The 26,575-nt window shown below is 43.8% G+C and overlaps 1 protein-coding gene and 1 long non-coding RNA gene across 9 annotated transcripts in view, besides 3 other annotated features; both read left to right on the forward strand.

Moving 5' to 3' along the window:
* Window positions 1-26,298, forward strand: LOC105374897 (uncharacterized). Its single transcript, XR_926412.3, has 2 exons — window positions 1-14,239; window positions 16,318-26,298. It is a non-coding gene; the product is annotated as an uncharacterized LOC105374897 (long non-coding RNA).
* The window catches only part of CDYL (chromodomain Y like), a 249,407-nt gene that overhangs the window by 186,248 nt on the left and 36,584 nt on the right, over window positions 1-26,575 (forward strand). The gene's annotated exons all lie outside the window — the stretch shown is intronic.
* Window positions 10,745-11,245: an enhancer, noted in NCBI's record as "H3K4me1 hESC enhancer chr6:4903364-4903864 (GRCh37/hg19 assembly coordinates)". NCBI's record gives its function as "activates a minimal SCP1, AML or CMV promoter by ChIP-STARR-seq in naive H9 embryonic stem cells {active_cell/tissue: H9 hESC(naive)}" and the evidence as "EXISTENCE:reporter gene assay evidence [ECO:0000049][PMID:30033119]".
* Window positions 14,295-14,354: an enhancer, noted in NCBI's record as "active region_23898". NCBI's record gives its function as "activates an Ori minimal core promoter by ATAC-STARR-seq in GM12878 lymphoblastoid cells {active_cell/tissue: GM12878}" and the evidence as "EXISTENCE:reporter gene assay evidence [ECO:0000049][PMID:35858748]".
* Window positions 14,725-14,774: a silencer, noted in NCBI's record as "silent region_16863". NCBI's record gives its function as "represses an Ori minimal core promoter by ATAC-STARR-seq in GM12878 lymphoblastoid cells {active_cell/tissue: GM12878}" and the evidence as "EXISTENCE:reporter gene assay evidence [ECO:0000049][PMID:35858748]".

The raw sequence follows: 26,575 nt of genomic DNA on the forward strand, positions 1-26,575 counted from the left end.
GTCTAGGGAGCTGCTCAGGCTCCGTGGTGATCCCAGAGGGCTCGGGTCCTTCTCTAGAGATCAGGCCTTGAGCTGGGCAGAGTCCGGGGCTTCTCACGGCATCTGCTGGAGCCTTGCAGAGATTTCGCCTTCTCCTTTCTTCGCTGGAAGCCTTTGATATTTCTCTTAATTCGGCAACTAGTTTTTTCTGTGTAATTCGCCATCCACAGACTGTGCTACCACACTGACTTGCTTTAAACAGTATCTCCCTCTAACTAGGTTATTAGGTGATAAGTTTTTACAGCAAGTTTCTGAAGCTGTCTACCTTTCTTCACCTCTGAAGTGCTGAGTCTTGTCTCGTGTTAAGCGTTTTCTTCTAAGTGTGGCCAGCATTGATACAGAAGTGCAGGTTCTTATTTTGCTCATCTGTGTGAATACCCAGGAATGCCTTTCAGTGGGAGCGTTGCTAACCCAGCAGAGCCTTTGGGAGCCGGGCTCGTTTCTCTGTTGTGATCGGCAGTGCAGGTGCCATTGCTTCCCCCGTCAGAGCCCAGTCTGCCTGGCACCGGTGGTGTCCTCTGTTTTACTCTCATCCCCAGCCCCGCTCCTGGGTTCTGCAGCTGCCTTGGTTGTGCCATGACCTGTCCATCTCCCAGGACAGCACAACTGGGAGTTCACATGGGTGGCTTCCTTCTCCTCACTTGCCACACTGTGCCGGCCACAGTTTTCTCTTACGAGGCCTCATGACTTCTCACCTGCTGGAGCTTTCTAATAGGGCTTCCTGCTTCCTGCCTTCTGACAGCTCCCATCCCTTTTCAGTCATTCTTGGACGAGGGTGGTGTCCACTGGTGCCCCCACCCCATTGCCTTCAGTAGCAGGTGTGCCCTGTGTGTCTGCGACCTGGCGCTCCGCTGCCCTCTGGCTCGCTCTCTCTGTCAGCACCAGGGCCGCACGTGGTCCCTTCCTCTCCATCTGCTCAGGGGCCCCCACCACCTGGCCCTCTCCTCTCTCTCCCTTCTGAGTTGTAGTCTTAAAATTGTCTCTTTAGCCGGGCGTGGTGGCTCATGCCTGTAGTCTCAACACTTTGGGAGGCCGAGGAGGGCAGATCGCTTGAGGTCAGGAGTTCGAGACCAGCCTGGCCAACATGGTGAAACCCCGTCTCTACTAAAAATACAAAAATTAGCCAGGCGCGGTGGCGCGCACCTGTAATCCCGGCTGCTCAGGAGGGTGAGGCACAAGAATCGCTTGAACCCAGGAAGCAGAGGTTGCAGTGAGCCGAGATGGTGCCATTGCACTCCAGCCAGGGTGACAGAGTGAGACTCCGTCTCCCAAAAAAAAAAAAAAAAGAGACTCCGTCTCTTTACCTGTGTGTGTCTCCTCCAACCCAAGCTCAGTAGAATAATAGCAAACAAAATACAATGGTGTTGGTTTGTTTGGGGAGCTACTTTCCTCTAAAGCGAAGTGTTCACTAAGACATTCTAACCGTCCTGCTTTGGTGCATTCAACAGGTTTTCTCCTCGGCCCAGGCCCTTGTGTAGCAAAAAAGTGGAATATGAACTGAAATCTGGGGTCTCCCTTTGACAGGAAATTGCCATCTTGCCAATGTTTTTCAGATACACACTTGACCCAAACGGTGCCTTTTCCGGCTTCATTGGAGCTTGTGAACTTGTTTGCAGGTTTGACTTCCTATATTGTTTGACCTCATGGATACAGTTTTCTCTTACTTAGTTGTATGTGAGGGATCAGAGAAGTTCAGAGGTAGAAGGGACTCACTTAATAGCACGCTCTATTTTGCAGTTAGGGAAGTCGAGTCCAGAGAGAAGATGATGTTCATGGAGAGAACCGAAGCCAGAAGGGGAACCAGAGCGCGTGCCTTAGTGCCTCCCTGGCGTTCTTCCCAGCATTGCTTGTTGCCTCCTGGACAGATAAGCACCTCCGTCTTCATTGATGACTTGGGGGCCAGGCACGGTGCTGGACTGTAGTGCTACCAAAAAGGACTGATGAGCTATAGTCCGTGGGCTTGGCCCTGCCCTGCTCCTGGTTTTGTATGACCTGCAAGCTCAGAATGGATTTTACATTTCCTGATTTTGGAAAAAGAAAAAAATCGGGAGGAATATTTACTAACGTGAAAATATAAGAAATTAAGATTTCTGTGTTCACACATAAAGTTTTCTTGGAACACAGCTAACCATCCATTACTATGAATGAATGGAGCTATCCATTCATTTACTTCCACCACCAATCCCGGCTAATTTTTGTATTTTTAGTAGAGACAGGGTTTCACCACGTTGGCCAGGCTGGTCTCAAACTCCTGACCTCAAGTGATCCACCTGCCTTGGCCTCCCAAAATGCTGGATTACAGGCGTGAGCCACTGCATCTGACCTACTTGGCTCTTTACAGAGAGGATACCTGATCTCTGCTCTTAGGAGGCCATAGATCTGTGAGCCCCCTTTTTTGTCCACAAAAGTCGTGTGTGTGTGTGTGTGTGTGTATATGTGTATATACACACATGTGTATGTGTGTGTATATATACACACGTACGTGTGTATATATACACATATGTATGTGTGTATATGTGTATGCATGTGTATATATACGTATGTGTATATGTGTATGCATATGTGTATACTTGTGTGTATGTTTATACATATATGTATGTATGTGTATATATGTATCTATATACACATGTACATATGGGTATATATGTATCTATATGCACATATATGTACATGTGTGTATATGTATCTATATGCATATATATGTGCATGTGTGTATATGTATCTATACACATACATGTACATATGTGTATGTATATATGTGTATATATGTATACATGAGTATATATGTACATATGTGTATAGATACATATATGTACAGATGTGTATATATGTGCATGTATACATGTATGTATATATGTGCATATATGCATGTATGTATATATGTGCATATATGCATGTATGTATATATGTGCATATATGCATGTATGTATATATGTGCATATATGCATGTATGTATATATGTGCATATATGCATGTATACATGTATACGTATATATGCATGTATACATGTATACGTATATATGCATATATACATGTATACATATATACGTATATATGTATATATACATGTATACATATATACGTATATATGTATATATACATGTATACATATATGTGTATATGTGTGTGTGTATATATATACACACATTTTTTGTTTTGAGAACCCTTGATTTTCAAAACTTCGAGCCAACAAGGTTAAGAGCTCTAGTCCTTAACCCGCACGTCCAGTTTTGGTTGGAGACCACCTCCAATGCGATCTTGCTGGTTCCCTCTCGTGTGTTAGTTCTTTCAAAATGAACTGCAGCCCTCGCCAGATCCACATTGCGCTTTCACCACATGTGAAACAATTCGCAACAAGAACCTTCATTCCTTTATATTTCTTATATAAGGAAGATAATAATAGCTTCCATTTAAATGAGGATTTAGTGACTTCCTTTCTAAAAAACATCCATCCACACATGTGGCATTGGTTAAACCAAAAGGGATGTGTAAGCATAGAATCTTAAATTATTTTACCTTGTTGTGCGGAGTTGGGAGGTTGGGTTGGGAATGACAGTATTTTTCCAAGGCCCTCACCATCATTTTTCTCCAAAGCTATGATCTCTACCCCTCTCTCACTTCTGCCTGGGCGCTGGTCAGATCAGCCCTGACCCCTGTATACTGCTGAGAATATAATCACTAGTTAGAGGAAAATAGAAGCTGTTAGGGAGCATTTTTAGGACAGTGGTGAATGACATCCCCTGCGGCCTTGATCTAAATCAGGCTTGCAGATTAACGAGGAGGAAGTCTTTCTGGAAGAAAAGCAACTGCAAAGCTGGTGGAGCCCCTGACAGCAGGCCTCCTGTGGATTTGGGAGGGTCAGTTCTGTCGCTGCCCTGGTACCTGTGCAGAGAAGAGCTTTGTTATACTCTGCTAGATCGTAAGCTCCAAGAAAGCATTTTGTTTTTCCAGACTAAATCGAACTGTGCCCAGAATGGTGCCTGCCGTGTAGTCGGTGCTCTGCAAGTACTTGTGGATGGAGTGATTCCAGTAGAATGGGTGCGCATGGAAGACAAGGGTTGTTGTAAGGAGTCATTTGTGGCCTGGGTCTTTTGCTCAGAGAGGAGGGAAGGAGAGCAGGAGGGGAGAAATGCTATTGAAATAACAACATATATGGCCAGAAACACAGACATTCCAGAAAGCCCTCGTTCGCCCTCTGGCACATGCTTCCTGAATGAGGAGAAGCCGCGCTGAAGCTCTGTTAGGCTGTTGGTCCACACTCAGACACTTTTTAAGCCATTGTTTGTTTTTACTTTCTAGACTAATTTTAGAGCTACGTAAAGAAACTGATTTGTTTTTCTAAAACTAATTGAAGTAGATACTGGTGGAGTCATTGGGAAACGAACCATCATTCAAAACATTAATCATATACTGAAGGAATATTTTTGCCACCAAAAACCACAGATATTTGAATATCTGTGAACCCAAAGAATGAATGTTTCTGGAGTATTTTCACACACACTCACTTTTATAGAATAACCATATATGTGTTTGCTTTTTAATTATTTTAAGTATGACGCAAAGGCTTAAATGAATATATTATTTCACTCAGAAATGTGAGAAATTCTAAAATTTAGGTGATGCAGCTAGCTGTCTTCTTTCTCTCTATCAATGTTTAATGGTAATTTCTTGCTCTTTTAATTCCCTAATGAATTAATCCTACAAAAGAAGTAATTGCTTTTAAAAACTGGATTATCGTAACTTTGTCCTTTCATGGATTCAAACATATAATTCATCATCATTCCGTAAGTATGAAATTTCAGAAAATGCTATTAGCAAACTTAAAACAAATAGGTGTAAACCTTATCAGTGTTGTGACATAGGGTTGGCTTTTGGATTTCATATTGAAGCCAACAGACCTAGTAGGAAAATGACTGAGGAAATATTAATACCTTAGCACACCTTGCATTTCATGAGCATTTCAACCAAAGGAAACTCCTAAGAGAAAGTGTTGAGGAAAACCTGGCTGCTTCTGAGGAGCTGGAGTGTGATTTCCTCTCAGTAAGAATATGAGTAGATGATCCATCTCCCTTTCCTCTGTGATTATCAGGGAAGTATAAGAGGCACAGCTGCCCTCTAGGAAGAAGCCCCAGGGCTTTCTAGGGCCTTTTATGATTTAGTCTCAGAAATTAGAACTTAACCCCAGGGAAGATTAACAAATCAGGAGACCAGGCCAGGTGTGGTGGCTCACACTTGTAATCCCAGCGCTTTGGGAAGCTGAAGCTGGAGGATAGCTTGAGGCCAGGAGTTTGAGACCAGCCTGGGCAACATAGTAAGGACCCCATCTTCATAAAAATAACTATTTTCCTAGGTTTTGAAGGTTTTTGTTTTTTTTTTTTAAATTATCCAGGCATGAGGCCAAGGCGGGCGGATCATGAGGTCAGGAGATCAAGACCATCCTGGCTAACAGTGAAACCCTGTCTCTACTAAAAATACAAAAAAAATTAGCCAGGCGTGGTGGCAGGTGCCTGTAGTCCCAGCTACTCGGGAGGCTGAGGCAGGAGAAAGGCGTGAACCCAGGAGGCAAGAGGTTGCTGTGAGCCGAGATCACGCCACTGCACTCCAGCCTGGGCAATTGAGCAAGACTGCGTCTCCACCAAAAAAAAAATCCAGGCATGGTGACTACATGCCCCCTGTAGTCCCAGCTACTTAAGAGGCTGAGGTGGGAGGATTGCTTGAGCCCAGTAAATCAAGGCTACAGTGAGCTATGGTTGCACCACTACACTCCAGCCTATTCCACAGAGCAAGACCCTGTCTCAAAAAGAAAAAAAAACGAAAAGGCAGCAGTGCCCAGACCAGCGCCCAGAGGTAGCAGCTATTCCCTGGGGCCACAGCAGGAAACCTCCACTTGAAAAGAGAAGACATTTGAAGTCAAGTTACAGCAAACAGGCAATTAGAAGTGTGTTTGAGGGTTTGATCAAGAAAGATTTCAGTTTGAAACCCCACAAATGATTGACATGTCCTGTATAGTGGGTCCATGCTAGAGGCTTCCACATGTGTTATCTTGCTTATTCTTTTCAAGAGCAAACCCACTTACACAAGGAAAGGGTCCAGAAGCTAGAAATCAAACGAGAGGGGAGTAGTCCTTTGAGACATGTAGATGCACAGCCTCCCTCCTTTCTAAGCATTTAATAGGTATCCTCAGGCAGAATGATGTGATGCCCAGCAGCAGGTGGGTTCCTCAGTTCCTCAGAGTGAGCATAGTGGTCCGCAAACCTGCGTGTGCTTAAGGATTCTAGTGCAGAGTTTCAGGCATAGAGCCCGTAGAGAAGATGCTCTTGTCCAGCTGGAGCCAGTCTGCTTACTCCCAGGAATCTTTAAAAACATGCACACCATAATGATTTTATTTTAAAACTTAATAAATCTGCATTATTTTCCAATGATTGATGTCGAACCAAGGCCCTTTCCAAGGGAGTGCTTGCGTTTGCCACTTGGAAGAGCCAAGGACTTTTGAACATGGATTCATTGCTTGGAGCCCTCTCTTGTGTAAAGCATGCTCGTAATGTATCACTTACTGTTACCACTTTGGATTTCTTCAAAGTAGAGCAAAACTTAGGTGTACTTAGAAATCTGAGTACAGCCCTAGCCTTTTTGATTTTTCTCATTTTCTCACACCTGGTTTTGACAACAGTTTTTAGTCTAGAGCCTTTCCAAATCATTCAATGTAGTTTTCTTTGAAACATCAGCTCCCCTTTTGTAATCATCCCCTGTTGTATGTAAAAATGAATTAAATATAACAAGTTCAGCTAGCCAAAAAAGTGTAAGAGGAAGGAGAGCGTTCCCTCTATCCTCTTAGGTTTGTGGCTGGGGCCTGTGAATTACAGTGGTGAAAGACATATTAACAGGAGAAAAGGACATATACATTTAATTGGTGTTTTAAATTTTATGTTCCCAAGAGGTCTCCACACAAAAGAGGAAACCCCAAAGAAGTGGTTAGGTTTGAGGGCTCATATACCATTTTAACAAAGGATGATAAATTGCGGAGAAGTTCCTAGACAAAAGAAAGTGGGGTTTCTAGGCTTCTTGGGGGTGGTAAAATGTGGGGAGGTGGATATACGGGGAAACAAATGGAAGACAAAGGCTGTTTAGTAAGGTCTGTTGATGCCGTCTCGGCCCAGTTTCATCTCTCTGGTAATGAATTGTTTTCCTTTTCCTGGTACGGGAAAGTGGGAATACCTTTACAGACAGGAATTTAAGCCCTTTCAGGCAGCAATAGAGAGTTCTTTCTGCATCTGTTGCTTCTCAGTTGCCTTTAGCTAAAAATAATCCGTATTCAAAAGTGGCATATTTTAGAATTGCATATTCTGATTCCCGTCAGAAGTTTAGGGAACGAACCCTGCCAGCTCTTCAGCAGCCATATCCCGAGGGGAAGAGTCACGTGTGAGCTGTGTGGAGTCCCGTGACCATCTCACTCTGGATAGGGAACCAAGGTTTCTCAAGGAGTGTTTTCCTTCTTATTCTGAGAGTCCCTGCTGCAGACTTTGAGAGTTTTTTCCCTGCAAATGAAGTTTATTGATGTCACAGCTCCAGAAATGTTAACACACATCCTGTTGTAAACAGAATGTGTAAATGTCATACATTTTTGCACAAGTAATTTAGAAGTACTTTGAGCAAAATATGAGTTCACTGTTACCTCCCCCTCTGAATACCAAATTCCCCAGAGAGAACATCAGTAGTTTGATGTGTGTCATTTCTATCTTTTTCTATGAATTTATATTCTTTTATATGAGATCATACTACGTAATTTGTTCTTAGCATTTGCTCTTTTTATTTAACATCATGTCTTGGAGAACTCTCTATTTTAAGACTCAAATTATTTCTTTTTATGTTTTAAACTTTATATAAATATGATTTCAAACTTACAAGTTGCAAGACCAGTACAAGAAATACCCATATAGTATCCCTTACCCAGATTCACCAATTGTTTACATTTTGCCTCATTTACTTTCCCTCTCCTCTTTCTCCCCCATATATGTTTATACACACATACACATATGCATATACATTTTTTTCCTATTCGAGGATACATTTTACACTATTTGAGAGTTAGTCGGCAACTTGCTATTGTAAACGATAAAACACAAGGCCTGTAATTGATTTAAAATTTTAATAGATGTTGCCAAATTGCTCTCTAAAAAAGCTGAAAAGATTGTGAGTACATATTTACCTATTCTTAACCAACATTTTAATCTATTTTTCAGTGTCTGGCAGATGAGAAATTGCTATCTCATTGTTTTAATTTTAAAACAGGAAAACTGTTTTTGCAAGTTAATTGACTGTTTGCATTCATTCTTCTGTTAATTCCGTATACGTGTGTATATATATATATATATATATATATATATATATATATATATATATATATATCTTGCCTGTTTTTCTTTTGGGTGGTTTAACTTCCAAAATGTGAACATTTCGTGAATGTACCTGTCTTTGCCCAGGGACTACACTGATCTTCTCTGCATGTTTGAGCTGTGGCGTGCATGCTTGTAAAGAGAGTGCCTAAAAAGAGGTCCATGATTCAGGGTCCTCCCCACCCCACTCAGGGGTGAGGTAGGACTATCTAGGCCCTGCCTTAAGGGACTAGAAAACTTCCAATTAATGTGCATTAATTTTATGGTTCCTGCTCAGTTTTGAATATACCAAAGTATATTTCATTACTTTGGGCTTATATGAAGTACAATTTAAAAGAAATTTAGATTTCTTAGGTCAGATGACATAAAAGGAATATTTCTAACTATAGTTCTTGCTCCTTTTGAACTTTAACTGATACAAGGACAAAGGGGGGGAAATCACATTTTCAGATTAAATTTGCTCTTGTCGCTGCATGTGCTACTAGGAATTAAGCCCTGTTACAAATCCTCCTTGTCTCCTCTATTCCCGTTAGCATTGTTTTTGCTGCAGTCAGGTACTGGCCTTCTGGAATATTCCTCCAGTGGCATGCTGTACCTTAAGGTTGGGAGCAGCTATATATACACAGGGTACAGGCTCTCTAGCCTCTTCCGAGCATGCTATTCTGGTGCCTTTGTTCTGTCTTAAGTTCCTCCAACATTCATCTTCCTCTTTCAGAGAATCCTTGTTTTACAGAAGAGGCCGCTTGTGAAAGAGAGTGATTTGATCAAATCACTAGCAGAATTGGTGGGAAACTAGACTCTACGTTAGAACCTACTCCTGACTTCCATTTAGTTCTTTGTACTGTGTCACACTGATAAGTGAATTTTTTATAAGCGTAATTGATTTTATTAAGTACACAGTATTACTCAAGACTTTCGCTTCTGTGTCAAGTGAGTGAAACTGAACCCACAGTGGCTTAAACATACAAGCAAATGAAATGGCATCTGTTGGCTCATGAAACTGAAATCCAGGCACAGCTGGATCTGTGGCCTGAAGTTACCATCATTCTCATACCCCACCCCACCCCCAGCCTCCACTTTTTCAGTCAGGCCATCCTTCCCGCATGGAAGCAAGGTGCCCCCGCAGCTCTGGGCTGCCACCCTGACCTCTCAGCTGACCAGACAGAAAAGGGGCTTCTCTTCCTCCTACGTTTCAAGGGGTGAGGTCAACTTCATCTAAACTCTGTAACCTAGAAGGAAGGGGATGAGAGGATACCCCAGGGGAAAGCCAGGGCTAGTAACAATAGAAATGGCAATAGAGGCCGGGTGCAGTGGCTCACACCTGTAATCCCAACACTTTGGGAGGCCAAGGTGAGTGGATCAACTGAAGTCTGGAGTTCGAGACCGGCCTAACCAACATGGAAAAACCCTGTCTCTACTAAAAAAAAAAAAATACAAAATTAGCCGGGCGTGGTGGCGCATGCCTGTAAACCCAGCTACTCGGGAGGCCAAGGCAGGAGAATCGCTTGAACCCGGGAGGCAGAGGTTGCAGTGAGCCAAGATCGCACCATTGCACTCCAGTCTGGGCAACGAGTGAAGCTCCATCTCAAAAAAAAAAAAAAAAAGACAGTAGGTACTGAGCAAGCCTGGACAATCATACTTTGAATTAATGTCATGTTCCAGCGTTTGGGTGGCCCTCTGAAACAGTACACAGTCATCCTCCCAATGCAGCTGTGCCCAAGATGCTGCTCACCAGGAGACTGAGCTGTGCCCAGCTCTGTACTTCCTCTTTTTGAATAGGTGTTCTTCCTCCTTTTCTAGTCCTATCTTTGGGAGCTAGGCACTGCATTTATCTCCTTTTTAATTTGATATCTCACCTTTTACACATCAGTCACATTAATTACACAAATGGACTGTTTATGAGGATCCCCTTGGAGAAGGTGCCAGGGAGTCCAATTCTCCAAGGCTCTTTTGCCTTGGGTGCAGAAGGTTTAACTAACGTGGCTTGAGTACTTAGATTGGATGGATGGGAGCCGATTCCCTAGAACAGTCTGAAAAAATAAAATCGGATGTTTTTAAAATATCCAGGGAAAGATCCAGAGTAGATGGACAAATTCACTTAAACTTTAAATGGTAAAATGGAAGTGTTGTGCAGATATTTCAGTGGTCTTTAGAATCTCCTACATTGCCTAGTCCAATTGTTTACACACATTAGGGGCTTCATTAACATTTGCGTGTACATGAGTGAGTTGTTGGAGGAATTTTTATCCCTTCTGCTTCCGTTATTAGTGTTTGTCTTTTAAAAAGAAGAGTAAAAGGAATGGTTTGTTAGGGTAGTCGGGACAAATTACCAAGGCACCAAGAGGCACTCCTACACTCCTGCCGCCCTAAGCACTTAGGGGACGTCCTCCAAATCAGACGAGTCAGCAGGCCTGTGCTCCTGCGCCATGTCCCTGCTGTACGTGCACATGTCCTTTTAAGTGAAGTCAATATATTCCTCTTCACAGCTGCATCCCAGTGCTCAAGGGAACTTCTTGAGAGTAAGAACCAAGACATTTCGTCCTAGTTTTTCTACTACCTGCCACATGGTAGGCGGCCACTAAACTGTGGAGTGGATGAAAGCATTTTCTTCCGTGATGGTTCATCTTAAATGTCTTTTGATAATTAGCATTTTATTGAAAATTATATTGTTTTATCTGAGCAAAATCTACTTAAAGGGTTCATTGAACTTCAACAACAAGTGAAATAATAAAAGAACCCACACGATGCACACGGTGGCTTGCCAGGGCTTGGGTGCCGGAGGGAGGAGACAGCTTCTGTGTCCTTTCTCACCAGCAGTCTCTGGCCCCAGTGGAGCCCCAGGCTCACCTCCCCTCTCCCGCTTTGTGTGCTCGGCCCCTGCAGCTGGAGTCTGCTTTACTTGATTCATGTTACTTGGTGTCCACACAGTTGCTGGCTCCTGAGTATCTTCCGTGGCTTCTGAGTTCCTGAAACACATTTTCCTCAGGTTTTGAGGCATCTTTTTAAAGCTTGCTTTTAGTTTCGGATTCACTCTATGTCCCATGCCATACACCCATCAGCCGTCTGCCTGGGAGAGTTTCTGGAAGCTCCATGCCTCTTCATAGGCACGTTGCCATGTACCACATGGCAGGCAGGTGTGACTGGAGCTTGGCATTGCAGAGCCCCTGACTTCCAGGAGCTCAGAGCCTGGCAGAATGGATATTCAAGAAAGAGCCCTCGTTTCTGATGATAGGGTCTGTTTGAAAAGCATTGTGGTTGACAGAGCCATGCCACGCTGTCTGCAGACCAGAGGCCGGGCCCCTCGCAGTGTTGAAAGTTCAGCCCTGCCGTTGTGGGTAGTGCTCCCTAAGGCAAGGGCAGATGCCAGACTATTGTTAAGAAGATTATACTAAACTGATCCTTGTACAGCCCTGCTTCTCGTGGAGTGATGACACCGAATGAATGAGATAAACTGTCTCTTTTTAAAAAGTAATTACCCCGATATAGTGAATACCCATCTCCTCCAGTGATATGGACCTGATGTAATTGGCTCTCAGTCTAGGATCATAAATGGCATCTGCCAAGGCATCCTTAATAGGAAATATTAAGAAAACATTTTAAAGCTTATCTCCAAAGTGTTTGTTACTGCAGGTTATTTTCTGGACGATGTATTTGCTCTTCCGAGCAAGTGGATTTGATGCTCAATTCTTCCATTCACTGCGCCCCTCCCTGCCCTGGCTTTTGGGAAGATAACATTTCACAATCAGGTTTATTTATGATAACATCTGGTCTGTCCTCCCTACTTTATTATTTAAGACTTGTTTGTGCTTAAAAAGAACTTTTTTTAATGGGAACACACTAGGTTCTCAAATATACTTTCAGCCCAGTTACCTCAGTCATAGTCATCTCTCATTTCTGTCTGCAGTTTAAGTTCTTATTTATGTCTGTGCAGTAAGGAGAGGGAGCGTGTTGCCAGGAGAAAAGCTGTAAACGGCTTTGGGCCTCATCGTACAGCTACAGGTTGTACTTAGGACCCGTGTTAGCCACTTAGACTACAGCTGTGCACTGTGTCCCCCTCATCCCCACCCCGACCTCCAGCTGAGAAATAATTATCACAGAGTCCATGCACTGAAATGGAGGTGTTTAATCACAAGAACACCTCCGCAGTGCCTGTGTGATCGGCCGTCCCTATGTGAGCTGCTGATCTCAGAGACAGCATTAGGATGGCGACCACTGCCCCAGACGGCCCAGTGCTCTACCCCTAGCGTGATCTGAACTGCTGAAGTCAGAGAAGTCCACGTTGGATAAACAAAGCCAGCCCAGTAGTAACCTGGCTGTCACAGTGACCGTGTGTCCGTCTTACTGAACCTGGGTTTACGTGACTAGGATGCTGACACAAGTGAGTTTGCGCATGGCTTGCTGTTCTCTTCAACCCTCTCCAGCCTGAATAGGAATGTTAAACCCACTCAGGAATTCTCGTTGGTCTAAAGGACTGTGTTCATTGGTCTTTGACACTCCGTCAACCAACTTAGCGGGGTTGACCTGAGCCTTCGGACACGATGTGCCTGTGGGTGCCTGCCTCTCCTCCCACGAGACAGACCTGAACTGTCTCCTCAGCTGCTCAGCTGATTGTGAGAAATGTATTCTGTGACAAAGGCAGGCCACATTTCAGCGTCTTTTCTGAAGTGGCATGCTTAATTCCGCAGGGGCAGTGGGGGGATATTTAGAAGCAGTCGGTGGGAGAGGATGAACTGCTGAGTTTGAAGTAGTGAAAGGGGAAATCAGTCATAAAATTCATGTTTGAGAATTACACCAGTGAAGCCGTTGACTGCCTGGGTCAGAGCCGAAGGGCCATGTTTAGTGGCTGGGAGCCACTCGCCCCCAGCACTGGCTTTCTGCATGCTGCACGCCTCTTATGTCAAGTCTTTGCCTCCATTTTTGTAGGACCTCTTCTTTTTCATTTTTTTTAGTTTTATTTGTTCCCCTTTTTATTTTATTTATTTTTCATTTGTTTAAATGTATGGGGTACAAGTGCACATTTGTAACATGCATAGATTGCATAGGGATCAAGTCAGGGCTTTTAGGGGATCCCTCACCCACATAAACATACATTTCACCAATTGAGTAATTTCTTACATAGGACCTTTCTACTGTCAACAGTAATTGTGGGAATTGTTTCTACAGTGATTTAAGCCTTGAAAGAAGTAACTTCCTCCTAGTAAAATTGTAAAATCAAATGGTAAGATGACGTGGTCTCTAAGGAGGAGTGTCTACAGCTTTAATTACTACACTGCTAATGGTGAGAGGGTTGTACATTTTATCTGGTAAGAGAAAGTCTGCCTCTCCCATGGGCGGATGATATGACTTTTATTGAATGGAAAACCGGATGGAGATTATTTTTCATCTTGCTAATGTAGTTTTAAATTATGTATTCCATGTTCACATTGTAATTGTAGCATTTTCTTGCATGACACTTTCAGCAAAGTTTGGTAGCTGTTTCCCATGCTTGGCATTACCTCTAAAGGTGAAGTAACATAAGAATTGTATAGGAATACCATGAGAGCATAACGTGAGCATTATCAGCTAGGTGAGTGCGGAAGATCACACTGTTTAATTGCTGGATTGCCAGCTTCTGACCCTTCTCTGGGAGTGCGGCTGCCTCTGTACCTGCTTCATGACAGTACAAGCGTGAAGGCCACAGGAGAAAAAGAACAGGACCACACAGCCCAGACCAGCCTTGGAAGGCATGACATTGCGTACAGAGTGTATCGGTTGCTTCTGATTTCCGTGATTTGAACCACTCTTTTATTATGGACTTCAAAGGGAAAGTAAGCATAAGTTTAACTTCTGTGCTTTGGTTTTTCAGATAAACCTTATCTGATGGGACAAAAATTCTAAAACTATGGCAGCTATCAAAATTGTCACAGCTTTATAACAGCAAACCAAGAGGAAGAGTGGTGTAAAAATAGACTCAGTCTGAGTTTTGGTTTGGTTTCGTTTTATCTGGGGGAGAAGGAGGTTGCCCTAGTAAAATTTCTACTTGCAAAGTCTTCCACGTGCCATTTTTTCTGTTAATATGTTCTCAGTGAGTGGTCTAAACTAAATGTATTGTGTTCTATTAATCACTGTTTACAGAAATTTGCCATTTAGGAATGTATATTGTGCAGTCTAATGTGTGCATTTCCCAGTTTTCACAAGGGGTTTTCTCATGTGCATGTAATAAGCAGTTCCACACTGGGTTTTCTTGATTATAGAGTCTGTGTAACGCTGTGACAGCCTGGGGTGGCACCTCGCCACAATCTTCAGAGTTGCACATTACTGTGTAACATTAGAAACTGCTGCTACTCTGAGCTCAAGTGAGTCAGGGGTGCACCCCAAGAGCTGGATCACTGTAGGGCCAGTGGGTTACCAGGTTGTCCTCCTACAGAAAGGGGAGATGGGGGGAAAACAGACCACCCTGCTGCAGTTTTAGCCTGCATTTCCATGAGTTATGGAAGGATTGGAAGAAAAGCTGACTGTCAGAGTTTTGCTCTAATACAGCTTTTTTGTGGGTTTTTGTGTGTTTTCTTTTTTTCTGAGACAGGGTCCGGCTCCGTCTCATCCAGGCTGGAGTACAGTGGCTGGTGCCATCTCAGCTCACTGCCGTCTCCCCCTCCCAGGCTCAGGTGATCCACCTCAGCTTTCCAAGTAGCCGGGACTGCAGGCGTGCACCACCACGCCTCACTAATTTTTGTATTTTTTGTAGGGATGGGGTTTCACCATCTCTACAAAAGATGGGGTTTTGCCCAGGCTAGTCTTGAACTCCTGAGCTCAAGCAATCTTCCAGCATCAGCCTCCCAAAGTGCCTGTAATAGGCATGAGCCACCATGTCCAGCCTCTAATACGGTTTTTAAGTATTCTCGGATGCTCAAAACTGATCGCAAAACCGGATTTCAAAATTACTATATAGTTTTTGTTACTGTATTTATAAAACTTAGCACATTGTGGCTTTTAGGTTGCTGTTATGGTGAGGTCAGCTTCCTGTCTTGGATTTTGAGTAGCTTTTGCCCTCCTCTAGAACATGGTGTGTTCAGTTAGATGCTCTCCCTTGATCCTTTGCTCTTCAGCATGTCCTAAACGTCTCTGTTAGACAGAACCATCAGTTCCACAGTTTGGCCCCCCTTGAGCTCCGTGTTCTCTACCACCCCACTTGGTGCCCATAAGGAAAGAGACACATAAAAGCCCCTCCTTGCTGTCAGGGGGCTCATGGGCTGTCATTCCTCAATGTACTTGGTGTGGACCCCTGAAATGCCAAACACATGGAAAATTCTAGCACCCTAGTTAGAGGAACACTGCATGACAAGTTCTTGTTTCTCCTGGCAGCTTTGTAAGTACCCAGGCATTCCCTTGCAGAGATGGGTGTGGTCCCTCAGTGATTGTCCTGGGAGCCATTCAGAACCATAGCTATGGGTGATCCTTGGCAGCACCTGGTTAACCTGATGGGAAAGGGTCCGGAACCGGGCAGGCCATCCAGGCCGTGTAGATGATCAGAGGGTGCGAGCACAGGATTTAGGCATTGGTGTTTCATAGATGGATAGGTGGTATGTCCTTGGGCCCTAGTTTGAGAAACACTGATCTGGGCTGAAGCTGGAGGTTTGTTTTAGAAATTTGCTTAAGGAAGTATCTAATTTCACTGTAGTTTGCTCAGCCTTTAGCTTTGCAGATTAAGCTAGCTACTTATTGAAAATACCTCCTCAGAACCCTCTCCTCCTGCCCCCCACAGGCAACCTATATCCTTGGCTCTCCAAGCTTCCAGGGTCTGTTTTTTAAGCATAAATGCTTCTACTTTTAAATAGTACTTACAAGATCATACGTCACCTCTGAGCTTACGTCTCTCTTTCCCCATTTTCTCCCCTCCATCCTGCAGAAATGGAACTTTAAATTCTGATCCAGGAGAACCAGTAGCCCACAGGCAGTCCTTTGACCTCCTGACCTGCTATGCATCCTCTGCCCTGCAGCTTCTCACATCCCCAGGTGGAAATGCTGTGCCCCTTCATCCATACCGTGGCACTTCCTCACTGGAGGTCACCTCTCCTGTGCATGGTCACATTCTGCCTGTCTGTTGAGAGGCTCCGTTCTTCGCTGCGTTCTGCTTACCTGGTTAAGCCACAAAAGGTTCTATGCTTAGACTAGACGTGGGATTTAAAAGTTTCCATGTTCGTGTACAGGAGTGTACAAAATATGCATGAGCAAGTGGTCACAGTCATAGACACACCGTGCCTTGGGGGGCCCCAGGTCATAAGATGGTGTTCTCTGTATTTCACCTGACGCCTTTGGTTTTGTTGCTCTGTGAGAATGAGGGCAGTCTTTTAAAGGAACTCATCCAGAAAGAAAGGAGAAGCAAGTGTGTTGGAGAGAAGATACATTTATCATGTCATTACTAAGCCCTGTATTAAACTTATTGTAAACACTAGGGTAATTACTGACTCCCTCCATGTGAGGAATCAGGGAAGGGCTGCTGTGTCCAGGCTTTCCGGCGTCCGTAAGTGCTACCTCCAGCTATTCAGTAGCTCCAGCCGAAAGCCATGCCCTCCCCTTTCCTGCATCCTTATTATCAGCTCTGCTGCTCACCATTGCCACCACCTTGTCCAAGCAATTGACATCAGTCTTTATTGCCTTTTTCCAATCCATTTCTCACACACCAGGAGGATTTTTTATAGATGTAAGTCATATATTACTGCCCTGCTTAAGGGTGTGTCTTCGCTTTCTGGTGTACTTGAGATAAAATTCATACTTTTTTTTGTTTGTTTTTGAGACGGAGTCTCCCTCTGTTGCCCAAGCTGGAGTGCAGTAGCACCATCTCAGCTTGCTACAAGCTCCGCCTCCCGTCTTCATGCCATTCTCCTGCCTCAGCCTCCCGATTTAGCTGGGACTACAGGCTCCCACCACCACGCCTGGCTATTTTTTTTTTTTTATTTTTAGTAGAGATGGGGTTTCACCGTGTTAGCCAGGATGATCTCGATCTCCTGATCTTGTGATCTGCCTTCTCGGCCTCCCAAAGTGCTGGGATTACAGGCATGAGCCACCGCACCTGGCCAAATTTCATACTTCTTACTGTGGCCTACAGGACCCTTTGGGGCTGGCCTTTCATTGCTTACTGGGCTTCCAATATGCTAGGCTCCCTCCACTTTCTGGAATTGGCCAATTTCTTTCCTCCTGTTTTGCACATGTATTCATATATATACATATACACACATACCTTTTTTTTTTTTAATCTGGTTGACCTCTTATCCTTCTGGCCTCAGCACAGACGGCACTTCCTGGGAGAAGACTCCCCGATTTTCCCCCTCCATCTAAAACATAGCGCTCAGCCACAGTTCTAGTTGCATGCTTAATGTGTTGGTTTCTTTACCTAAGCTAAGCTGCGGGAAGTTAGGCAGCACATATGTTTATTTACTCAGTCTCACGGCATTAGCACCTGGAACAACACCAGGCAGTGCTCACTTGCTCAGGTTTGTTAAACAGTGACTCTGATTTTTGTGTCTTTGTCTTGTTGCCAGATTAAGTTCTTGTCTGTGGTTTTATGGCCAGAAGAGGCACACATAAATGAATGAGTACTCTGCCTTTAACTCCCTTCATACTTTCTGCTCTTTTCCTTCTGTCCAATTTATTAAGCACACTGCATACTATGTGCCATGTCATGAGGTTCACTGGGTGACCCCCATGGGACCATGTGACTGATTTGTCCTCTGAAAGCCAGTGCTTGCTGGGCTGGGGAGAAGCCAGTTGCACAAAAGGTTATAACATAAGGCAACAGGTAAGTGCTCTCAGCTGAGCAACTTAAGAGACTGTGTTCAAAGGCTCAAGGAGCGAGCATGTCTGGTTGAGGTCTGCAGAAACTATGAAGAGGGAAAAGGTGTCTCCGTGGGCCTGGAAGGATTAGTCGGGTTTTTATAAAGCAGCAGTGTTGGAAGCGATGGTTTGGATAGAAGGCATGAAGTGGGTAGTGGAGTGTTTCTGATGGTTTATACACCTCTAGACCTTACCTGAGAAAGGATTTTTTTTTTTTTTTCCCCAAGACGGAGTCTCTCTCTGTCGCCCAGGCTGGAGTGCAGTGGCACGACCTCGGCTCACTGCAAGCTCCACCTCCCAGGTTCACGCCATTCTCCTGCCTCAGCCTCCCGAGTAGCTGGGACTACAGGCGCCTGCCACCACGCCCGGCTAATCTTTTTTTTGTATTTTTTAGTAGAGACGGGGTTTCACCGTGGTCTCGATCTCTTGACCTCGTGATCCACCCGCCTTGGCCTCCCAAAGTGCTGGGATTACAGGCGTGAGCCACTGCGCCCAGCCGAAAAAGGATTTTTAAGGCAGTTGACAGTTTGGAAATACAGGGATATAGTGTTCTGTTTTTAAATCCAAGCGAAGATGTCATGACAAACTGAAATGAAAACATATTAAAGCCAGGGTTATGGTTAGTCCAGTCCAGGGTATGCATGCCGTGGCATTGGTGACTGCAGGTGGGCTGCAGATTTGGCTTTCAGCTGTCTGGTGGCATGTGATAAGAGTGTGCTGATGAGTCAGATCCACAGTGCTCTCACACATACATGCGCACAGTAGTTGCTCCGTAGAAGTATAACTGTGCACGGTAATGAGACTTGAAAAACAGTTTTGCCCTAGGTCATTAGGAAAGTTTTTCCTGGTTTAGTGAACAAAATGTGTCCGCACCACTTTCTTCACAATTGATACAGTATTCATGGTACTGTTTGCTAAAGGGGGTCCTTGGTTTGTAGCCAGAGGCACAAACCACTTTTGGTATTGGTTCTAGGGATAGCTAAAAGCCTCAGAGTTCATGTCATAGAGCATGGTGTTTCTAACCCCCGCCCCTTAGCTTTAAATAAAATATTAGAAAAGAATCTATAATTTTCAAAATTATTTAACTTTAAATAACTTCCTAGGTTAGTTTTAAACCTTTAGGGGTTACAGGACATCCACTTTCAAATTTCACCTTCCAGTAAGTAAAAACATGACTTACAAATACAGAATCCATTCATGTCAAGTATTCATTTAACTCAGCGAAGGAATCAAAAAGATAGTAAAGTTGAGTCAAAGAAAATGCAGGAGACCATGTGTAGGCACTGAAACAACGCTGGGATAGTTTCAGAGAAAGAGACAAAACCGGTTAACGGCCTGCAGGGCAGCCATACTAACCTTTGCTGTTGTCTTTTCTCCTGAGCAGGTGTCATTTCAATCTCTAAGCAATGCCATTGATTTATATCACTCTCAGTTTTCTAAAATTGACATCCATATGGAGCTGTAAAATACTCTAAACAGCGCTAAACAGTCAAATGAAGGTACATGGCCATAAAGAACGAGATGATCCCTGGTGGGAGTGGCTCCCAGTGCCCCAGCATGATGTTGAAAAGATACGTGGTCCTTTCACCTGTTTCCAAGTTGGGAATTTTTTTTTTTCCTGACCATTAGGAAAAATGTTGACGTTGGTTTTGGTGAATCTGATTTGACCCATTCTTCCTGGGAGTAATAGGATAACACGGCCGCTTCTCATTTGTGTAGACAACCCCAGCTCATCATCATCTGCACGTGGCCTGGAGGGTCACTGTTCCCTGCAGTGGCTCCTTGGGAGAGGAGTAGCACCCTGTTCATCAAAAGCAGGTAGCAAGGCGCACTTACAGTTGCTGACTGGCAGGGGCGGAACGCCGTAGGGCTTTGTAGCCAGGGTAAGAAGTTTGGGTTTTTTTCAGATGGTGAAGGGATTGAAGTGGAAACATGATGTGTGCTGATTGACATTTGACATTTGATTGTCTTCTCAGTCCATTTTCAGATATTTGTGAGAGAATATCTGAAACTACGTAATTTACAAAGAAAAGGAATTTTTCTTTCTTGAAGTGATAGATGCTGAGGAGTCCAGGATCAAGGGGCCCCCTCTGGTGGAGCCTCTTTGCTGGTGAGGACTCTGCTGAGTTCCCAGGCATCACATGGCGAGGGGGCAGAGCCTGCTTATGTGCCAGCTCAGCTCACTCTCCCCCTCTTCTTATGAAGCCACCAGTCGCACTCCCGTGATAACCCATTCATGAGGGCAGAGCCCCCATGACCCAATTGCCTCTTAAAGGCCCCTCGTCTCAATACTGCCACACTGGGGGTTACATTTCAGGATGTGTCTTGGAAGGGATAAATGTTCAAACCATAGCAGCTGCTGACTGCTCTGAGGAGAGTGACTTGCCGGTGAGGTGGACTAGCAGAAGTCATCAGAGCCTTTCTCAGAGTCCAGGCCAGGCTGTTAATGCTGGTGGCTTGCAGATGTAGACCAGCATTACTAAACTCTTAAAAGTTTGTTTCCCTGGGATCAAAGCTAACTTGGCAGAGACCTTATTGTGTCTTCAGAATTTTCTTCCCAGTGCTCGAAATTCGAGCCAAGGAACGAAAATCTCTTGAATGAGGGTAATTTTATTAACACTCTTCCTTATTATTTAATTAAAATTTTTTTATTTCAGGGGTGGTTTTAAGTGCCATCTTTTAAAGCATTACATCGGTAATTTGCTAATCTGAGCTTCTCTCCTCTCCACAGCATGAGGCCCTGATACATTTAGGGCCTCTGTTAAAAAGCAAAAAGTGTGTGGCAGTGGCAATAGAATCACCAAAGCTAAAATCATAGAGAATGGTGGCTCGTAGTGTTTTAAAACTGTTTGAAAAGTGATTATAGGATTGGGGAAAAGTTGATACTTCCATCTTTAAGCAGATAACAGAAAGCCTGGTTGCATGACTGGCAAACAATTTTAGATTTAAAAACAACAGCCCTTGGCTTTAAAATACTTCCACCTTCTTCCGGCCTTCCAGGGAACTCTCTATACTTCCTTACTAGGAGGGTTATACTGGACAAAAGAGGACCGTCTAGTCTAGGGATCAGCACGCTTTTCCTTTAAAGAGCCATTTAGTAGATATTTTACACTTTGAGGCCAGACGGTCTCTACTACTACTTAACTCCACTATTGTAGCCTGAAAGCAGCCAAAGACAACAGGTAAACAAATGAACGTGGCTTACAAAACTTTATTCACAAAAACAGGAAGCAGCCCAGATTTGGCCAGGAGCCCTTGTTGGCGGAGCCCGGGTCTAGCCTGTTGGCCACCCAAGTTCTTACCTGTCTCCTCCTAACCTTCTCACCTTGGGAAACATAATTTATTACCATGTATGCCTGAGTCATAGAGGACTGACTGCTCTCTCTATGGTTTCTCCTCTCCTAGGAGTGGACTATTGTTGATTTTTACTTGGTTCTTGCTAGGCTGGGATAGGGGCTGCAGTGGAGGGTGGGAACAGGGTAATCTTTGGTTGTTCTGGTCTTAGGCCCTGTGTGTCTCACCTGTGGGGGTGAAGTGTTTCATGATTTTTTTCTTCTGCTCAAGGAGTGAAAGAGTTCTTTTTTTTTTTTTTTTCCACACTCTCCTTCCTTTGGCACTAGTAGATCAACAGGGTTTGCTGCCCTTCCCCCAGAGGCCAGAGAGAGGGCAGGGCAGGAGAGTACGGCTCCGTGCTTTTCTCATGGGGGTGGCACGTCCTCTCCTCTGTGCCTGAAAGCCTGCTTCACCTCCACACTTTCTCATTAGCGAACTGCTACGCTGTCGTGCCAGTCCACACGCAGCCTCTTGCAGGTCTTTAGAAGCTCAGCTGAGTTTCTTACTATTATCTGTCTCTTGTGTTCTGCCGCAGTTGAGACAGTCCACATGGCCCCAGCTTTCCTTGCAGCGGCTCATCTTTCCTCAGATTGCAGGCTGTGTGGCTGCCTTGCAACCTCAGCCATCCTGCAAGTTCAAGAACAGTTGTAATTGATAGTTTATCCAGCTGTAACCAGCGTTTTAGCTGTGCACGGGCCTATTCTTCATTCTGAGCTATTAAGCTGGTTTTCATTTGACTTTGGTTTGCATAGAACACAGGGTTTGCAGAATGGGTTTGTGACTGGGGTGGGTTGTGACATGGTTTCTTAGAACGGGGCCCACACATGGCCCACGCATAGAGGTGTTTCAGTACAGCAGTAACAGCCCGGCACGGTACCACAGTGTTCACAGTTGTGGGAACAGGGTGAAGAGTAGACTGTCCTCCAGCTGGGAGAGTAGGCAGGGATGAGTCGGTGCAAGTGGACGAGTCCAGGACAGAGCTGGCTTCTGAGCCTAGGAGGTCGGGCACGTATCCTTGCCTTTATTCACTGTGCCCTGCCTGTGGTTTGCATGTGAGAACACACATCTCTGTCTTGTGTGCTGGGGCTGGCCCAACCTCGTAGATCATGTTTAACTCTGTGTTGTTAGGCATAACCACAGTCTACTTTAATGACAGCAGATGCCCCACTGTTTAGTCACACTGCAAAGAGCATCCTTTCGATCACCTCCCAGTGGAAATCCATGATGATGAATAAATTCCTAGATTCGGATTTGTCAAAGATTTGTTTTGTTTTGTTTAATATTTTTGATACAAGTTGTCAAACCATCTTCCAAAACACATTTTACCACTCTGCTCTCTAGCCAGTGAACACATTTTGCTTGGCCCTGATATTAGGGTTGTTTTGGGTGTTTGATAAACTTATGTGTTTTGACATTAGAATTGTAAACCAAAAATAGCATTCTAAGCCCTGCAGCTTGGAATGTGAACTGCCTCTTGGCCAAGGGGACCCTAAAGAAACCTACATAACTAGTTCAGGCCATAATGTGGGGGATGGGGGCAGACACACCTCATTATACCCTTACCGCTTTGGAGTTTAGACACAACTGACTAGCATTAACATTAAAAGAGAAATCCTAATACTGACAGAACAGACTCTGTAGCAACCAGATACCAACTTCCAACCTGAGTCAGGTAGAGCATCACATGACAGATAATAGGTGCCCTGAAGGAAGCCAAAGTATTTTATCCCAAAATATAACTTGACATATTCTGCAATGCCCCTGTAAAGCTCTCTTGTGGGGGAAATTTTCATTCTGTAGAGAATCTCCTTCCCTTACCAGGTCTTTTCCAGAGAGGCTGACACCTTTTCAGCTCTGATAAGAGACAGTCACCCTATATATGAAGCCTGCTACCTGGAGACTTCGTCTGTACGGCAAGAAGCTTGGCTTCCACACCTCCATATCTAAACTCAAGCATTTCTTTATTCTGGATTCACCTCTTCAGATAGGGCTTACTCTTGCAACCAATTGCCAGTTAGGAAATCTTTGGATCCACCCATGACCTGGAAGCCTCCCCACCCCGCCACCCCATCCTGCCTTCCTAGGCCAAACCAATGTATACCTTACATGTATTGATTTATGTCTTTGCCCATAACTTCTGTATTCCTAAAATGTCTAAAGCCAAACTGTAACCCAGCCACCTTGGCACATGTTCTCAGGATTTCCTGAGGCTATGTCAGGGCCATGATCCTTAACCTCGGTAAAATACACCTCTAAATGGATTGAGACTTGTCTCAGATACTTTCTAGTCTACAGAATGATTAACTTGATTGCTTTAAACCTTCAGGTTTGGAGTGGCCATCTTTTTTACAAACTGCATACCTCTAGCCTTCTCTTAGGAGATGACGCTACATGCCAAATGTTTTAAATTTCAAGGATAGTCTTTATATAAAATCTATGTACTTGTGGATAATTTCCTCAAAGAACTCATGAGATGAGAAACTCTCGACTGAAGAGAACTAAAAATAAAGACTGAGTGAATGTCACAACCACTGAGAACAGGTTTTGAAAAGTTCACTGTGAGGTAAATGAAGACCCTGTTCTCATGGTCTGAAAATTAATTGAAAGGCCAACAGAATGACGCCTGGAAGGGTGACCAGATGTATCGGGGGGGGGCGGGCAGTTTCTGTCCCCTGGCCTGCCTCCCCCTCTTTCAGTGATGCTGACCATTCACCTTTATCTGAGTGGTTCATTCCAGCCAAGCAGCTGAGCCTGTGAGGACAGAGGCATCTCTCCATTCTCTCAACAGCCTGTTTCTCTCTAAAATAAAATCACATATTTCCATTTTCTTATGATGCTTCCTAATTCCAAGGAGGTGTAGTGTGTAGTGATCCCCTCATGCTGGGCAGGTACCCCGGATGGAGGCCTGGCCACGTGCACGGCCCACTGCCACACCTCCACCTCTGACAGGTGGGCCCTGAGGCTGATGGGGAGTCCAGAGCACCCTGCCCACCAGAGAACTTCAGCTTTGATCCGTTTTGTTTTTGAGGTTCCAAGTAAGATTTTTCTTTAGGAAGGAAAAAATAGCTCTGTATACAGGGGCAATGCTAGGAAAACTGTTGCTTTTCTGTACTTTGTGGATTCTACTGAGTTTGTAACCTGCCCTGTCTTATCAAATCGTTTGCTTTCATGGTTATTCCTTCCTTATGGTTTTGGGGTGGTTGAGTGTCTATGTGTGTGTTGGCTTGTTTTCTTTTAAAGAACCTCATGGAGAAATTTATCTTAGATCTTAGAAGTACCAGATTGTCTTTTGAAGTCATAGGTTTGTTTTTGTCTTAGAATCTTCGTTTTAATGGCGTTTCCATCCTTGCTTTGGCCTCTAGAAACACCAGAACTGAGTATGTGGCTTGCTTTTAGGAGCTAACCACAAGACTGACTGTTTCTGTGTGGTGGTTCTGCCGCTAGCTTCTTGTTGGGGTTTGTTAGACTTTGAGTAGCTTTGCCTTTGTAGTTTTAAGGGAGGTCTATAATGTATACTAATACTAATACATTGTAACCAAGCATAGAGCCTCATTATGATAGCAGTTGAGACACAGTTAAAATTAATGTAAATGTTACTCAAGTTTAAACTGTTTCTCTAATCTCCGATTTACAGATGAAGTGGGGGGCAGAAGTCAGAAGTTAATTGTCCTTTGGTGTAGTCTGCTGTTAGAATACTGAGAAATTGATAGAAATGGCAGCACTGAGGAAGGATTAAAAGTATAGATGGCAAGTTTTCATTCTTAGGCTGTTGCTGTTGGCATTGCAGGGAGAAGGTTGAAGTAGACATGATGATGAATATCAGCAAACACCTTGAACCCCTCCTTACTCTGGGTAATTACAGATGTACTTCCAAATGAGGTGTCTGAAGTTCTGCCCTCTGTGAGGTGAACTAGGGGTGGAAAATTAGCACTTGAACGTCTTAGCTTAGAACACATTGGATGCAATAACTATAGGTTGTGAGCTAATTTTCTTTGAAGTAGATGTTTGCCTGTAGCTACTATTCATGTATCTACCCAAGATAGTATCTTCCTTTAATATCTAGGTTTTGAAATTAACGGCCACACACTGTTAATGAAATAGAGAAATTAGATTGTAATTGATCAGTTGTCTTATGAAAACAATAGTTGCAAAAGCCAGTTGGTTCTGAGAGTCAGGATAAACATGAAGAAAAGTATTGATCATTCAATCCCATGTCAAAGTAGAATCATTTCTGCAGGAAATGTAGTTTTTGAAGATGTGATCAATAATAAGATCCCACTGCTGGAGAATTATACCATGTCGATAGCTATGGTTATTTTTGTATTTTCATTTGTCCTTTTTAATTGTTGTTGTTATTGTTAATTCTGCCTTATTCTCTGCACTGAAAAGAAAGGTTGGGTGATGTTCTGCCCCCCCCCCTTTTTTTTGGCACTTTGAGGTGACATTATAACATAAAGGTTGTTGCTTTTTTCTCTCCAATATTTGATGTATTTTCAAAGGCTTTAAAAAGGAAATAACTAAATTTAAAGTACCACCTGTCTTGTTTAATTTGCTTTAGGAATTTATCCCTATATGCTTAGTTAGAATGATAGGATTGATATTGCGTAGTAATTTCTGATGTTTTTGTTTTAGTTTGTCAAAAGTAAAACTAAATAGCATGAATTTGCGTCTGTAATTAAAGATTGACCGCGCTTGAATAAAGTTTTCCATTAACTTCTTCAAATAATGGAGTTCACTTTTAAGGATTTCCCTTTCCTCAGTGTTTTTAACTTTGATTCTAAAATGCTGGTTGTAGGGATCGCTTTGAAACTGCTTTATCTCTGTGTATGTTTTGAAGAACTGAGTAAGGATGAACACTTCGATTTCCTTTGGGTTACTAAAGACTTTGCTGCTTTTCTGATTTAGGAGTCCAAATCCCCTTAAGGATTAATGCTCTCAGAGGAGCTCAGCACAACTCAAAATGAAGATTAAAATTGACACAGGATTCTTCTACACATAGT

This window comes from Homo sapiens, chromosome 6, assembly GCF_000001405.40.
Source record: "Homo sapiens chromosome 6, GRCh38.p14 Primary Assembly".
NCBI lineage: Eukaryota > Metazoa > Chordata > Mammalia > Primates > Hominidae > Homo > Homo sapiens.